At 37.2% G+C, this 16156-nt stretch overlaps 1 long non-coding RNA gene across 7 annotated transcripts in view; it reads right to left on the bottom strand.

Annotated features, from left to right (window-relative positions):
• LOC105377225 (uncharacterized) overlaps nt 1-15899 on the bottom strand; it is a 34342-nt gene extending 18443 nt beyond the window's left edge. Inside the window, exons 1-6 of one of the 7 annotated variants that reach the window (XR_007068465.1) lie at nt 15664-15899; nt 9661-9752; nt 6306-6356; nt 6019-6113; nt 2890-2943; nt 1559-1693 (exon numbers count right to left, since the gene is read on the bottom strand). This is a non-coding gene — a long non-coding RNA (uncharacterized LOC105377225). Of the gene's footprint in view, nt 1-1558; nt 1694-1760; nt 1853-2889; nt 2944-5936; nt 6114-6305; nt 10494-15663 lie in introns of those variants that run through there. The other 6 variants (XR_938635.3, XR_938636.3, XR_938637.4 and 3 more) reach the window with 6 other exon arrangements.
• Nucleotides 15900-16156: the final 257 nt, after the last annotated feature.

The raw sequence follows: 16156 nt of genomic DNA, 5'->3' as shown, positions 1-16156 counted from the left end.
AAGAAAGCTAGCCTCTTCAGAAAAGTAACTTTGCCCTTTCAGTATAAATAAAACTGCCTATAAGAGTGACTCTTGGCAGGCTGTGGTGGCCCATGCTTGTGATCCTAGCACTTTGGGAGGCTGAGGCAGGTGGATCATGAGGTCTGGAGATCGAGAACATCCTGGCTAATGTGGTGAAAGCCCATCTCTACTAAAAATACAAAAAATTAGCCAGGTGTGGTGCCTGCAGTCCCAGCTACTAGGGAGGCTGAGGCAGGAGAATGGTGTGAACCCAGGAGGTGGAACTTGCCTTGCAGTGAGCCGAGATTTTGCCATTGCACCCCAGCCTGGGCAACAGAGCGAGACTTCATCCCATAATAAATAAATAAATAAATAAATAAATAAATAAATAAATAAATAAAGTGGGCTGGGTGTGGTGGCTCAGGCCTGTAATCCCAGCACTTTGGGAGGGCAGACGAGTGGATCACAAGGTCAGGAGATCGAGACCATCCTGGCTAACATGGTGAAACCCCACATCTACTAAAAATACAAAAAATTAGCCAGGCATGGTGGCAGGCGTCTGTAGTCCCAGCTACTTGGGAGGCTGAAGCAGGAGAATGGTGTGAACCTGGAAGGTGCAGTTCGCAGTGAGCAGAGATCGTGCCACTACACTCTAGCCTGGGTGGCAGAGCAAGACTCCATCTCAAAAAAAAAAAAAAAAAAAAGAAAAAGAAAAAGTGACTCTTGCGCCAAATGAGCATAAGACAGTCAGTGGAAGTTCTGTTTCTGTTTTGGTTGGGGAGACGGGGGAGATGTGGCCTGGACCACTAAGTGTCAAGGCTGGACCTCCCTAGGAGGAGGTTGCCATAACCTAAAACCTTACATCCAATTTACCAAAGACACAAGTCCCTCAATTGTCAACTCCAACAATTTAACCCTGTGCAAATCTCTATCACTGTTCCCACTGTTACTGACACTAACCCCACTTTAGGTCACTTCTATAGACTAGAAGCTGATGTTACTGGAATAGACCCTATAGAATCCTTTGAGATATGCTTCATTGCTCCTCCATCCTTTTCTTCTCCTTATTCTGAACCTCTTTCCAATGAAATAGTTGTTGTTTCCATACCAAATGACAAAATTATGGTAGACTTTGTAGACATCAAAGATTTAAAGCAAATTTTAGTGATTGAAATGGGATACCAAGATGCATATTCCTGGCTAGAATTGATTAAGTATTCTGTTTCAAGTTAAGCAAAAGTGACTGTTACACTTGTGAGAGAGGCAGGCCAGAGGCCCAGATAATCCACTTCCCATGCAGATGGTCTCCTGATCAACTGGGCATGAGTTACTTTGTGAGTCTCTTTCAAAACCCCACAGCCTCAGGCAGTGAGGTGTTCAAGACTCACTCACTGCTATTTCCTGAAGTTATAGACTCTTCAGGTCAGCCCCTCATGGTCACCTGGCCTCCAGGTTTGGATGTTAATTTTACCTCATATCTCTCATGGCAGAGGGAAAGATTAACATCTCTCAGAGACCTAAAAGAGTGCAGTGAAACCAAGCTTTTCCTAGAGCTTACCAGTCAACTTGCCCTTGTTTATTCCCAAACAGATATATGGTGGTATTGTGGTGGATCACTATTAGGTACTCTGCCAAGTAACTGGAGCAGCACTTGTGCTCTGGTCCAATTGATCTTTCCTTTCACCCTGGCATTCTGTCAACATAAAAAGAAAGAGAACTGGATACAAAGAAGTGCTCATCATTGGTCTTTTGACACTCACATTTATATAGATGCTATTGGAGTTCCATGAGGGTTACCAGATGAATTTAAAGCTTGAAATGAAACAGCTGTGGGATTCAAATCTGCAGTGTTCTGGTCGCCAATTATAAACAAAAATGAAGATCGGATAAGCTACATCTAATATAATCAACAGCCATTTGTCAATTATACTATACTATAACACAAAGATACCATTAATAGAATAGATGAACAATTAGCCCCCTCCCTCACCAGCCAAAGGGCACAGGAAAATGGAATAGCTGTTGACATGATGTTAGCAGAAAAAGGTGGACTCTGTGTCATGAATGGGGTCAAATGCTGTACTTTTATCCCTAACAACACAGCCCTTGATGGAACAATTACAATGGCCTTACAAGGCCTTATCTCCTTGTCAGATGAGTTAGCCAAAAATTCTGGAAGAAATGACCCCTTCACAAACCTCATCAAAAGGAGATTCGGTAAATGGAAAGGGCTTATGTCTTCAATATTAACCTGTCTTTTAATTGTCATAAGTGTACTCATTTTTGTAGGATGCTGCATCATACCCTGTATCTGTGAGATAATGTCAAGACTTACAGAAACAGCTCTCACATAACCCTCCCCTATCCCTCTTCCTCAATACTCAGAGAAGCTCTTGTCCCTATATGATCAAGAGGAGAAACAAGGCTAAATCATGCTACAAAAACTTGAAGAGGAAGAATTGTCAAAAGACAAATGGGGAAATTGTTAGGAATGATAATTTCCTCTTCAAAAGGTTTAATTGCGTAATGTTATTTTCCTTTGTTCAAAATCCTAACCTCCTTGTACTCTTGTTTCCAGCCTGCAAACCACCCTCCCACTCCAGTTGCACCCTGCCATGCCCAGACATGTTCAGACATGCCTTGTACTGCAACAAACAGATCCCTCCTACCTGCTTCTTCTCTTACAAATTGTGCATTTGCCCCATTTAGAAAAGTTTAATTCTTAGCCAACCCAAATCAGTTTAGATTGTGCAGTTCAATCCCAGCCAATAAGGGAAGGACACAGGGACAGGAACTGTATTACGGATAAAAATCCCTTCTCTGTTTTATTCGGGGTGCTCTTGCAATTGTGACTGAGGTAGGCAGCAACCTTCTGCAGAAGCAAATTACCTTGCTGGGAAAACTTTTTGCCTGTGTGCTTGTTCTTCTTTGCAGCAGTGAGCACTTGTTTGTAAGGGAGCAAAAGAGATATTTTTAAAACAATAATAAAAAATGCAAACAGGATACTCAGAAATACACTAAATAAAGCAGAGGAAATAAAATAAACACAAAATTTGAGGACAATTTTAAAAAGTGATATTATACACAAACAGAAAAATTAAATATAGAAGAAAGTCCAAGTGACATACAAGAGAACATAAAGATATTCAAATATTGGGGATAAAAAACATAAAATCTTATTTAATAATATTATAACTAAAAGCAGTCCAAATACTGGAGAAAATGTAGACATACAGATATGGAAAGCTCCAGAAATCACAAATAAATTTAACCACAAAACATTTATCTTGATGTGAATTATAGTCTAACCATCCAGCAAAAGACAACACATTTTTAAAACACAAAAGAAGTGTCAAGTCAAATATAAGAACTTCCCTTATTGAACTAAGACCTAATTTTTCAGCAGAAAATTTAAAGGGAAGAACATAAAGGAAAGGTATTACCAAGAAGCTGAGTGAAAAAAAAAATCAACTTAGAATTCTACACATTGCAAAACTATCATTCAGAAATAAAAATAAATGAAGTATTTTCTGCTAGAAATTTAGAAAGAATTCCTGCATCTGAAGTAAATGGTCTACATCTACCATTATGGAAATACTTTAAACTAACACTTCTTAGAAGAAAAGATACAGAAGTGAGAAATAAAAAATGAATCACATTTTATCACTATGGACAAACACAACATTCCAAAGATAAGCATTAAAAATGGTATACAAAGACATACAAAAATATCAAAAACTTAACAAGATGATAGAATAAAGCCACACCTATCAAAAAGTATTTTAAATGTAAATGGCTTAACTTCCACCATTAAAAGAAAAGATTGGCTACAGTATATAGTTGCTTCTTCTATTTTAAAAAGTCACAATAAGGACAAATTTCTTAATTTTAAATGCTACATATTTTCAGAGCTTTTTTGAATTAATGTGAAACCCACAGCTCATTACTTAATAATCACTGAGTATACATATATTTCAAATACACAGAATTCCTGAGAAATAAATCAGCTTAGTGGGCCAGATACTACCATTGTAAAGTCTATTTGCTATGAAAAATCTATTTCAGTGAAAAGAGAACTGCCCAACTATTCCTATAAAACACGGTTGCTGTCTCACCAAAGCACCTTAATGTAGGATTTTCTCTTTGTCTCTATTAGTACCCCAGGTTTTTGTCCTACATCCAGGAAACTTAGGGAACATTGACACAAAGATAGGGTTGGAGTGAAAGTTTGATAAGTGAAATAAATGAAGCTCTTCACAGCAGATAAGGGAGTCCAAGTGAATTGCCAGATACAGCTGCATTCAAAAACTTTCATAAGATATGCCTCTCATCTCTGTAGCAGTTTGAGTAACTTCTTTTACCAGTTAAGTTCTCTGTGCCACTCCCCTTATCTTATGCAGCTGTGGAAATATCTCTAGGCAAACACAAAGCACCACTTCTTTTGTTTGTATAACTATTGGTTTGTTTTCAATTAGCCTGCCTCCTCACTGTGCAATTTACCACTATGTATGTGCTTGAAAAGGGGAGGAAACATTTTCCTGGGAGTTTGCTAATTATATAAAGTTTCTTATCTGTTGCAGGTACAGCTCATGTTTTTCCAGAATTATCTTTCTTTTCTTCTACCTCATTCTCCTTTTAGGAGTGGAAACTCTAACTGCTGTTGGGGAGATTGGATATTGATTTCTGAGTAATTCCAGCCGAAGAGGGGTGTTGTGTGGGAAAACAGCAGCTAAGACTCCTTCAGGGGCTGATTTAAGGTGCCTCAAATAAAAGGCTTGTTGATGTCTCATTTTATTTGCATTACCATTTGGAGCTTGATAGCCTCCAGGTGAAAAAAAAAAAAAAATTGGTCGGGTGCGGTGGCTTACTTCTGTAATCCCTGCACTTTTAGAAGCCTAGGCAGGCAGATCATCTGAGATCAGGAGTTCAAGACCAGCTTGACCAATATAGTGAAACCCTATCTCTACTAAAAATACAAAAAAATTAGCCAGATGTGGTGGCATGTGCCTTTAGTCCCAGCAACTTGGATGGCTGAGACAGGAGAATTGCTTGAACTCAGGAGGCAGAGGTTGCAGTGAGCCGAGGTCATGCCACTCCACTCCAGCTAGGGTGACAGAGCAAGGCTCTGTCAAAAAAAAAAAAAAAGAAAGAAAGAAGGAAGGAAGGAAAGGAAGGAAGGAAGGAAGGAAGGAAGGAAGGAAGGAAGGAAGGAAAGAAAGAAAGAAAGAAAGAAAGAAAGAAAGAAAGAAAGAAAGAAAGAAAGAAAGAAAAGAAAGAAAGGGAAAGAAAGAAAAAAATGTGGGTTATTAGAGAACATGTATTAAAATTATACAAATGGGGTAAGAACAACTTTTAAAATTCTGAGGCTTCTGACACACCCTGATAATTGCTAGCAATAGTTATGCTTTATAAGATTTGGGTGCACGGGCCATGCTTTGTTGAGCTTCCTTTTTCTTATGTTCAGCCCCCAGAAAAACTTTGGGGCTTTAGGTTACCTGGCAGAATTTGTAGAATAATTACCTAGAACTAGAATATTTTACCAGATTTTCACGTTACCCATCCCTTTCTATTTCCTCTGAGCTGCAGCCAGAAATCACTGGCTGGTTACAGAAATAGACAGGATTATTTTAAAATGCAGCTCAGAACTTAAAAACAACAAATGAGACTAGAAGTTAATGACAGAGGTGTGATAAGTTTTGAATATAATTTATTTATTTTCAGTCTTTGTTCTGTTAAAAAAATTATGATAGGACTGAGTTGTTTGCAAAATAAACTTTAGTTTTAAGCTTGGTCTGATTGTTTGCATAAAGTGCAGCAAGAATAATTATTTTTACACAGGCCTTTTAGATTAGATTTGATGAGACTTTATTCCACTAGAAATTTCAGATAGGAATTTTTAAAGCCAAGCCCAGTCATGGGTTTGTATCCTCAAATACCTGTGAGTTGGGTAAACTTGTCTCTTCTTGAGGTTCCAAGAGCATGGGGTAGACCTGTTAGAGAGGGACATTCTTTACTCACCACAGGTTAGGAAACCTGTATAAAATCTTCATGACAAGATATGAGGCCAGTTTCCCCAGGGGCCTTTATTGGCTCTGCAAAATCAGTCTTCACTCCTTAAAGGGAAAAAAAAAACACCATTCCAGTCAAAGCCTAGGTAAAACAATCAGTTTTTTAAATTGTGTCCTGTTGAAAAATGCAATGGATTCTTATTGCACTGATGTCAAGAATACAACAAGTTTCTGAATTCTAGAAGAACCAGACAGAGAAAAACAAACATGTTCCACAATTTGTTCAAATGAGTATACCTTACTGAGTTGTGAAAGGGTGTAGCTAGCTCAAGACAAGTGTCCTTGACTCTGAAAAACAAAATAAGAATCAGCAATGTTCCAAGCATAAGTCAAGAATATTGCTTTAGTTTTCTACTAGTTCAGTTTCTACTTTTCATGTGTCCTGTAAGTTTTTCTGTTATTAGAAACCAGCATTTGAAAGAATCCCTGTTAAAGTTCTACAGCTGATTATAATCTATTTTTTTTTAAGAAGAAGAAGATTGAAACAAGACAAAAATTGTCAGTAAATGACAAAATTTCCAGGGTAGTTACAGTCAAGAACATGTTGGACAAATTTGGTTATTTTTATGGTTCACCATAAACCAACTTAACACACTTAATTGTGATTAATAGCACATGTTCAGATACTAGAACCTTAGAAATCCTATATGATTTTGAAATATATGTTAATATTATTGCCCAAAATATAACCTGGAAAATATTAAATATCATTTTGGCAATTGCATGTGTCTCATACATCCATGTGAAGAGGTCACCAAACAAGCTTTGTGTGAGCAACAGGCTGTTTATTTCACCAGGGTGCAGGTGAGCTGAGTCCAAAAAGAGAGTCAGCAAAGGGTGGTGGAATTATCATTAGTTCTTATAGCTTTTGGGATAGACGGTGGAGTTAGGAGAAATGTTTTGTGGGCAGTGGGTGGATCTCACAAAGTATATTCTCAGGGGTCGGGAGAATTACAAAGAACCTTCTTAATGGTGGGGGAGATTACAAAGTACATTGATCGGTTAGGGTGGGGTAGAAACTTCACAATCATGGAATGTCATCAGTTAAGGCTATTTTCACTTCTTTTGTGGATCTTCAGTTGTTTTCAGCCATCTGGATGTATACGTTCATGTCACAGGGAATATAATGGCTTAGCTTGGGCTCAGAGGCCTGACATCATGTATGCAAACATGTTAAATAATCCTGTTTAACTCTCTTCTGGATGCTCCAGGGGTCCTCGGTAGCACCCAAACCCCTAGGTCATGAAAGACAACCTTGAGACTGTAGTTTGATTTTGGTAAGCCTGTTAAATATATTTGAAATTTAAAACACTTGATGTTATGAAATACAATTTTAGATTAACATAGTTATTTGTCTTGCCAAAATGATGAGTCAAAATTTGAAAAGCCAAAAACCATTCATCAGTCTTTACTATTACATGAAAACCCTGTTCAAGCAAGTTAAATTTCACCCTTGCATTATTTTACTATTAATGGTTAACCCCAATTTTTAATGAAAGCTTATAGGTAATCCTATTCAATTTTAACCAGTTTGATCATGATGTGAGATTTTCATGTACCTTTTATAACTCTTCACAAGATTTTCTAAAAAGCACATTGAAATCTTAAGAAAACCTTGTTGTGCTTTTATTTCTGTAGGAGTTAAAGAGGAAAGAAACAAGAAATGCGGCTGGCAGGTAAAGACAGGTTTTCTTTAGAGGAAACCTGAGAGGTGCTTCTGGCCAATTTCAGTCAGGAGTACTTTCTCTTAAAAGCTGAGTATATATCACTTTTAGGTTGAGGGGGCTTATCACAAGCTTGGAATGTTTATGTGTGTGGAGAAGTTTATAGCGGAGTTGGAATCTCTCTGGCAGGAGGTAAGGTTATCTTGGGGCAGACATCTTTCTGACCAAGAAGGGGGTTATCTCAGGGCTAGCATTTTCCCAGCCAGAGCAGAGTTTATCTCAGGACTACCCTATCTCTGGTTGGGGAGGAGTTTGGAATGTTTCTGGTTAGAGAAGTTATCTGTGGTTTATGGTCATGCTGACCTTAGCCATTAGGCTGACACCCTTTGGATTTAAGCAGTTTTTTATTGAGGTCAGCTTTAGAATGAGGGGTTGTTCCAACAAGGTGGTGGTCCTGCTCTGTCAATCCAGATCCTATGGTTATAAAAAGGAGGAGGGACTGCAGGCTACTTCCTGCTGACAAGGGGATGGAGAGTTTTCTGGTCTTGGGTTTACTGTAGGAGCAATGTCATTTGTAGATATTTTGGGGTAGTTGTCTGTAAAATGGCCATGATATTTTCAGTTAAAAATCTTTGAAAAAAGTTAATTAGGCAAGGTAAGAACATTAGTTCCAGGTATATTATTAGAAGAGGTCCCAGGAATGGGATGACTCATCCTATGATTTTGAATCCAAACCAAGAATCTATTCGGTTGTTTTGATATTCCCTTAGCTTTTTAGCCTTTTCTTTAAGTTTTTAGCAGTGTTTTTTACTAAGCCCTATTCGTTGCTATAGAAACATTTGTTACCTGATGAGAGGCAGAAGCATGTGTTTGGAAGAACTCATGTGTTACTTTCTTTTAGTAACTATTATTCCTGCTATCTGGATAATAATTAGGGAAAATGCTATAATAATTGAGATTTTTTTGTCTGATATTCCACCCTGAGGATGCTATAGCATATTGTTCTACTGCAAATAGCAGTGAGTAAGGCAGTTCCCACAAGGGTGGCAAAGTAAATAATTTCCATTAAAATGTTTTAATATTTGGCTTAAAAAAAGAGGTAGACACACCAAAAGTATTTGGTGAGGTGTGTGAGGCTGAATAAAATGAGTAGTTTTCACTTAGTCACCTATCTTTTATGATTTTCAGCTTAATATTTTCTATTTTTTTACATTGATATTTAGGGTGTTTCTTTGGGCTGTTTGGGTTGCTTTCTTAGATTTCTAGGCTTTGACTTGAGTGATGTATTTAGGAATTGACTCCTGTATCAGATATCATCTTAATCACCCTGCATTTCATGGACTCACTAGACTTTGGGGGAAAGTTTTCTCAGCACCCTCAGTTATTAGTTGTCAGCACCAGCAGTGAAGACATTTATTCCTGTGGTGGCCCTGTGTTAGAGGCAGTACTTGATGAAACACTTACTTTTCAGTTTGTAGGGCTTTAAGAAATCACAGCTTAATATGGAAACTTATATCCAGAAAAATTAGAGTTTAATTTAAGCAGTGGAAAATAATAAAAATAGAAAAACATTAGGAAACACTAGAATTCAACAATCCATGTGCTATCATTTTTGAAACATAATTTTGTCTCTCCAGTTTCCCATTTTTATTAAAAGACAAATTATAATAGGACTGGTTTGCTTTACTATACTTGACAGTTATTTGCATACAGTGCAGCAAGAATAATTATTTGTTACATCTGCCTATTAAATTGGTTTATATGGCACTTTGTTTCAAAGAAGGAATCTGAGATAAGACCTTTTTAAAGCGAAGCCCAGCCATGGATTTTTACTGTCCAATACCTATTAGTTGGAGAATTTCTCTTCTCTTGAGGGACCAAGATAACTTGGGCTTCCCAGCCTGCTAGAAAGTAATTTTTTTACTTACCACAGATCAGAAACCATGTACAGGGACTGTGTACACAAAATATGCAGTGAGTTTTCCAAGGGCCTTTTTGCTTTGTAAGTCAAGTTTGATTCCTTAAAGGAAAGCATATAATTCCAGTTAAAGTGTTGGTAAAAATAACCAGCTTTTCTAAATGTGCCCTGTTACAAAAGAAAACAGATTCTTATTGCACTTATGGAAATAACCATACTGCCATAACTTAAGAATACTCAACAGATAGTTTCCAAATTCTGTAGAAAATCAGGTATAGAGAAACAAGTATGCTCCAAATTTTGTTTACGGGAGTATACTAAATTGTTACAAGCTGTTAATAGCTCAAAAGAAAAATTTATTTGACTTTGAAAAGCAAAACAAAGAATTAACAATGTTCTAAGCAAAACTTTAAAGAGATTACTCAATCCTCCTTTTAGTTTAGTTAATACAGTTAATTCTTATCCTGCTTGATATTAGTGAACATTTTAGCTTTTCAAGTGTTCTGAATGTTTTCTTCTATTCTGATGTTACACTCTCTAAAATTATCAGAAACCTGCATTTCAGAGCACCTGTTAGAGGTTTATAGCTGATTACAAAACCATCTTCTAAAGAGGAACAAAACAAGACAACAATTGTTTATGGATGACAAAGTGTTTTAAGGTAGACATAGTTAAAGATGCAATCAACAAAGATACCTTTTATCTCTGTGACACACAATAATTTTAATGTAACAATTATAATTTTTACTGATAATGTCCATGAAGATGTATCAGAATTATAGGAGTTTCCCATAACTTTGAAACATATATGAATATATTTATACAAATATAGCTCAAAGGAAGCCAAACACCATTTTATATTTGAGAGTGCTTCCTGTATGATTTTATACCAGATAAGCTAAAATTCCACCTTATATTAATGTGCTATTAATGTTAAACTCAATTTTAATAAAACCTTGTAGACACATTTACCTAATTTTAATGTTTGACCATAAGGTAAGATTTTTTTATAGACCCTTTTTAACCCTTTATAATTTTTGTTAAAGAACAGGTTAGTGCTTTAACAGAAACACATGTGTCTTTATTTCAAAGCTCAATTACAGAAAAACTGGATGATACCCCTTCAACTTTAGTCAATATATTTATACACAGCATTTGAAGGTTTCTTAAACCTTCAAAACAATTTAACATTTTCGTGCAAGTAAAAATTCACATCTTATGCCTCCTTATAATCTTTTTACCAAAAATGTATTTTATTTTCCTTACACACCTTACACATAAACAGTTTCTTCAATAGTTTTAAATACATATTTTACTGTTAACATTTAGCAACATTTACCTTTGTTGAAAACCTTGGTAAGTTTTGAATTTTAATTATGTGATAGGTCTAGAGCCTAGGATCTAGACAGAATTGCAGATAAGGCCTGGCTTATTTCAATATTTAACTCCATGTGTCCTAGGTTTTGCCTAGCTGCAAAGCATGTAAGTTGTACAGCTAAGAGGTATAGGGACATTTTATGAAGCATTCAGGGGATCTAATTACTTTTAAATTGTGCAACATTTCTTGCATAAATTCTCTATTATAAAATTTTTCCTGACTTTTACAGACAGTCTCTGACATGCCCCAACTTTCTGGCTTTTCATAAATATCTATTTCTTTAAACAACCAGTTAAATTATTTTAGGACAAGAATTTACCACAGAAGATTCTTTTTTATATAAATTGTCTTTTATTTAATATCAGTGATGATAACTGTCCTTTCCTAAAACAAACTTCCTTCATGTCTGTGGACTAGACTGCCTGAGGCCAGAAGATTGTAAGCTAGAATATTTCACTAAATAGGTTAATATGTAGCTATCATCATCAAACAAATATTGCTGTTTTATTTATTTAAAAATTACACAAGCAAAGATTATTTTGTTTGGAGTGGGTAATAGTTTTGTAGCCTCTCTGCCAAGTTTTCACACCTTATAGTATTTACCAGAAATAGGGATGAAATTGCCTAGTTAATTAATGCAAAAAAAATGTATGTGGCAGACAGGCATGGTGGCTTACACTTGTAATCCCAGAACTTTGTGAGGCTGAGGTGGACAGATCAAGAGGTCAGGATTTCAAGACCAGCCTCACCAACATGGTAAAACCTTGTCTCTACTAAAAATACAAAAATTAGCTGTTTGTGGTGGTGCATGCCTATAATCCCTGCTACTCAAGAGGCTAAAGCAGGAGAACCACTTGAACCCAGGAGTCAGAGGTTGTAGTGAGCCGAGATTGTGCTACTGCCCTCCAGCCTGGGTGACAGAACAAGACAGTCTCAACAAAACAAAAAAAAAAAGAAAGAAAAAAGAAAAGGAAAGAAAAGAAAGTTATTCTGGCAACTCTTCAGAGATTTCTTATTTTAATACACCAGGAAGTTTCAAAGTAAAATATGTATTTAAAACTATTGAAGAAACTGTTTATGTGCAAGGTGTGTAAGGAAAGTTTCACATGAACTGAAAGTTCTCACAGCATTTACCTTTCCCTTAAAAATATTTGATTTCAGTGCTAATTTTTATATATCAATTAATTAGAGCTCTTTTAATAGACATTACTCACATAACACATATACAGCCAAGCAGACAAGAAGAAGAAATTCAGTAATTATAAGATTTTTTTTTCTGCTAATTTCCCAATTGTATTACTGGCCTTCAGGTGAGACCCTTTAAGAACAGTAATATGAAAAAAGTTTCTATGGACTAATAAACAAATATAGCTGGAAGAAAAAGACAGATTTTGAGAGATACTTATTCACCTCTAATTCCAGGGATTTCATAAGGAAAACAGAAATTTTTTCCCAAAATGGGATTTGTAGTGCTTTTCCTGCTTTCCCAAGGAGTCCCAGGCTACCATAAATTATTTTAGGGTTTTTTATACATGCAGCAAAAGTAGAAAGACACAGTGGAGAACATTAATTCAGTTAATTGGGAAAATACCTTTTCAATGAAACAACATTGATGAAGAGAAAAATATAAAGGCATTTTGAATATACTTACAGCTTTGATCTGCAACAAATCCTACATGGAGAAAGGGAAATTAATGTGAGCAATGCCTTTAACCACAGCCACTTCCCAGAAAGGGAAAGGCAGATGTGATTTTTGAATTGGTAACAGATGGAGAACGAGTAGTTGGGTTGGGGGCTAAGGGTTTGGAGGCAGGAGGGGCCACTGGGGTAGAGGATTTGGATGGGCAAGGAGTCGATGCAGGGAATAAGAATACAGAGGGGCTTTATCTACTGGGTTAAAAGGAGTTTCATAGTAAGGAAAGACCTGGGGAGGATTTTTATTAAAAAGAAAGATTTTATGAGCAGTGCAAGCTTGACACAGTGGAAGGTTACATTTAAGGTAGACATCAAAGAAAGCCTGAATATAGAGAACCAGTTGCCATTTGCCATCCCTCGCTGTAAAGTTGTTAAGCTTCCTGAGAATTTGCAAGTCAAAGGTATGATTTTTGGGCCATCGACTGTCATTATCTAATGTGTATTGGGACCAGGCCATGTTACAGTAAAAGACTAAATGCTTCTGTCAAGTTTTGCAAGATTGTGAATGAGACAGTACAGTGGAGAGGGCTTAGGAATGTGGGATTGTTTGGTGAGAAAAACTAGAAAGATTTTTAGACAGGGCCTATTTCAGCAACTTTCTTCTGATATCAGGGGCTGCCTGAGTATTGAACCTGTTTTTTACTGAACTGGAAGACAGGGAAGTGTGTCTTACTAAAGCTTCTCTCAGTCTCTCCAAGAAGGCAGGTGGATTTCCATATATTTTCTGGTGCAACTCATACAGTTGAGAGTAATTAAGAGGTCTTGTTCTGCTTATTTCCAAGTCTTTTTAAATGTATATCAGAAATTCTTTTAATTTCCACTCATTTATGAGATCACTCAGGCTCCAATTAGGGCTTTTAAGGGAGCCTCATTTTTCTTACTATTGGGAATGGGGACCCTGTCTCTCCTTATCCTCTTTTATCCCTTAGATTTTTTCCTTTCAAGATTTTTAGACTGGCTATAGGAGTTACGCTGTTTATCTCCAAATGTTTCTGCTGCCTGCAAGACTGCCTGCTTTTCTGTAACAGTTAGGGTTTTGGCTTAAATGTAGCATAGCATCTCTCCATGTAACATGAAACATTTGGGTCAAATTTTGGAAAACCTCTCTATGTTTATTAGGGTCATCAGAGAACCTACCTAGTTCCCCCTTTATTTGTGTAAGTTCCTGCAATGAAAAGAAAACTTGAGGTGGTGATTAATAAGGGGCATTCTGAGATGGTTTCTTTAGAAATTGCTTTTCTAACTCTGCGGAATTATTCTCCATGGGACTACCTGCCATGACTGTTAAAAAAGCTGGGTTGATCTCATAATGCTTGTGAAGGTTTAGTAAAAAATGTCATGCTCTCGTGCAAAAGAAAATGGTCACCTTTTTCTTCAAAGTCATCGGGTCAAAGTAGTTCTAAAAGTTTCAGAGTGCACTCAGAGGGGTGCAGATTAAAGTTGGACTGTCACCTCTCTAGAAAAATAGACAAGAAAAGAGGCATCCCTCTGTCTCCTGCTTTTTTTCAGTGTGACCCAGGGAGGAGAAGAAGACAGTAGGAGTGTCCCACAGACTGTTATTTCTCCTTGGCTCCTGGGTCCCAGCATTGTGTTGAATATGCCACCAGTGGTTTCAAGTGTGACCTTCAAATGATGGTAGCAGAGGAGCTAAGCAATGGGGCAAGCCATGCTCACCCAAGTGGCTTTAGTCCTCTGATGGTGATTATTCTTTGACCTCGTAGACTTGGGTCTGGGTCACTCCTTGATGGATGGGTCTCAGGAAAGACTATGTGACAGTTGCATCTGGGCATCTGCTGGACTTCCCTCCTTAATGGAGGAAGTGTTTTAGTATTATCTTTGGTTTCCCTTGCTATGGCCCTAGTGAAACATTGAAACCCCAAAGAATGAGACTGATTCACTTTCAAACATAAAACCCATTTCTGGTGTAAATGCCAATGTAGCTGAATGTAGAACAGGTGCCTTAAAAGAACATATAAATGGAATGGCCGTCCTCTTACTGTTAAAGCTGGAGCTTTGCTGTTTTCAAATGGGGCATGAAGCCTAGTCTCTAATAGAGGGATATAAAAGGGAGATAACCAGAGTTTTTAGACAAAGGGCCAACAAGGCTCCCAGTGGGGAAAAATAAATCCCATTCCCCTACGTAGTGCTGTAGGGTCTGAAATATTAGGTAAAAACTGTGACTCCATCCTTTCAGGCAGAAGTTAGAAAAAGAGGTTTCAGTTTAATTGGCTGTTCCTATAATATTCCTCCCAGCACAAGAAAATTAACTTGTTTCATAAAGAATTGTTTAAATTTATTGGGCAATGCTGGGATTTTACATGGAGGGAAAAACCAACCCAAATGGGGAGGGAAAAACCAACCCAAATGTAGAGGGAAGAAACAATCCAAATGGAGAGAAAAGAGGATATTCACTTGGGGTGAAATATTTGACCATATAGTGTCATGAATGTCTATTATTGAGGGGTAGAAGAGACCTTACTAAGTGAATACTTAGACAGAAATCTTGAACTCCTCTGTCTCGAGGAAATCACAAAAACACAGTTTCTTGAAGTTACATTCCTGGTTACAAAAAAAGACACCAACTTACTCTACCAAGCAAGATTATATCTCTAGGCTGAAAAAACACCTGCAACATTGTATACAATGAAGAGATAGGTGACATAATAGCCATGGGAGAAAAGAAGGAAAATGTAAGAGGGAAGGTCCTTGTGCTGACACACTGGTGGGCTGTCAAGGATTGGAGTAGTCTTCAGATAACACTGAGGACCTTCAGATAACACTGAGGGTTAGTCCCAGCCAGAAATCTTGAATTTTCCTAGGACCTTCTTCCAATCCCACATGTTGGCTTAGGTCCTCTGTGAAAGGAAACTAGATTGGAATAGATGAGAAGACTCATAGATGAATGTAAATAGTTAAAGGTAAAAGTCGGCTCTTACTCACCCTTCTGATGAATTCCCTCCTTCCAAGCCAATGGATCAAAATATGTTGCATTCTTGCCAATGCACCTTAATTTGGAAGTTTCTTGTTGTCTGAAGAAGTACTCCAGGTTTTTTGTTCTTTATCCAAGACAAAAAAATTAAGAATTGTAAACACAAAGATAAAGTTGGAGTGAAAGTTTAATATGAAAAAAAAAAAAAAAAGCTCTCCACAGCAGAGAGGAGTCTGAGTGCATTGCTGGGTTACATCTGAATTCGAAAGCTTTTATAAGAAACTCCTCTCATGTCTGTAGCAGTTTGAGTAACTTCTCTTATCAGTAAACCTGTGTGTGCAACTCCCCTTATCTTATGTAGCTGTGGGTATGCCTCCAGGCAAGCACACAGTGCCACTTATTTTCCTTGTATAAAGTGGGTTGTTTTTGATAAGCCATCCTCAGCCCTGTGCATATTTCCACCACATATATGCCTGAAAGGGAGATACCTTTTTTTTTTCCCTA

Source organism: Homo sapiens, chromosome Y (assembly GCF_000001405.40).
Source record: "Homo sapiens chromosome Y, GRCh38.p14 Primary Assembly".
Taxonomy (NCBI): domain Eukaryota; kingdom Metazoa; phylum Chordata; class Mammalia; order Primates; family Hominidae; genus Homo; species Homo sapiens.
The sequence above is the reverse complement of the archived record's forward strand: the minus strand, read 5'-3'. Positions and strand labels throughout refer to the sequence as shown.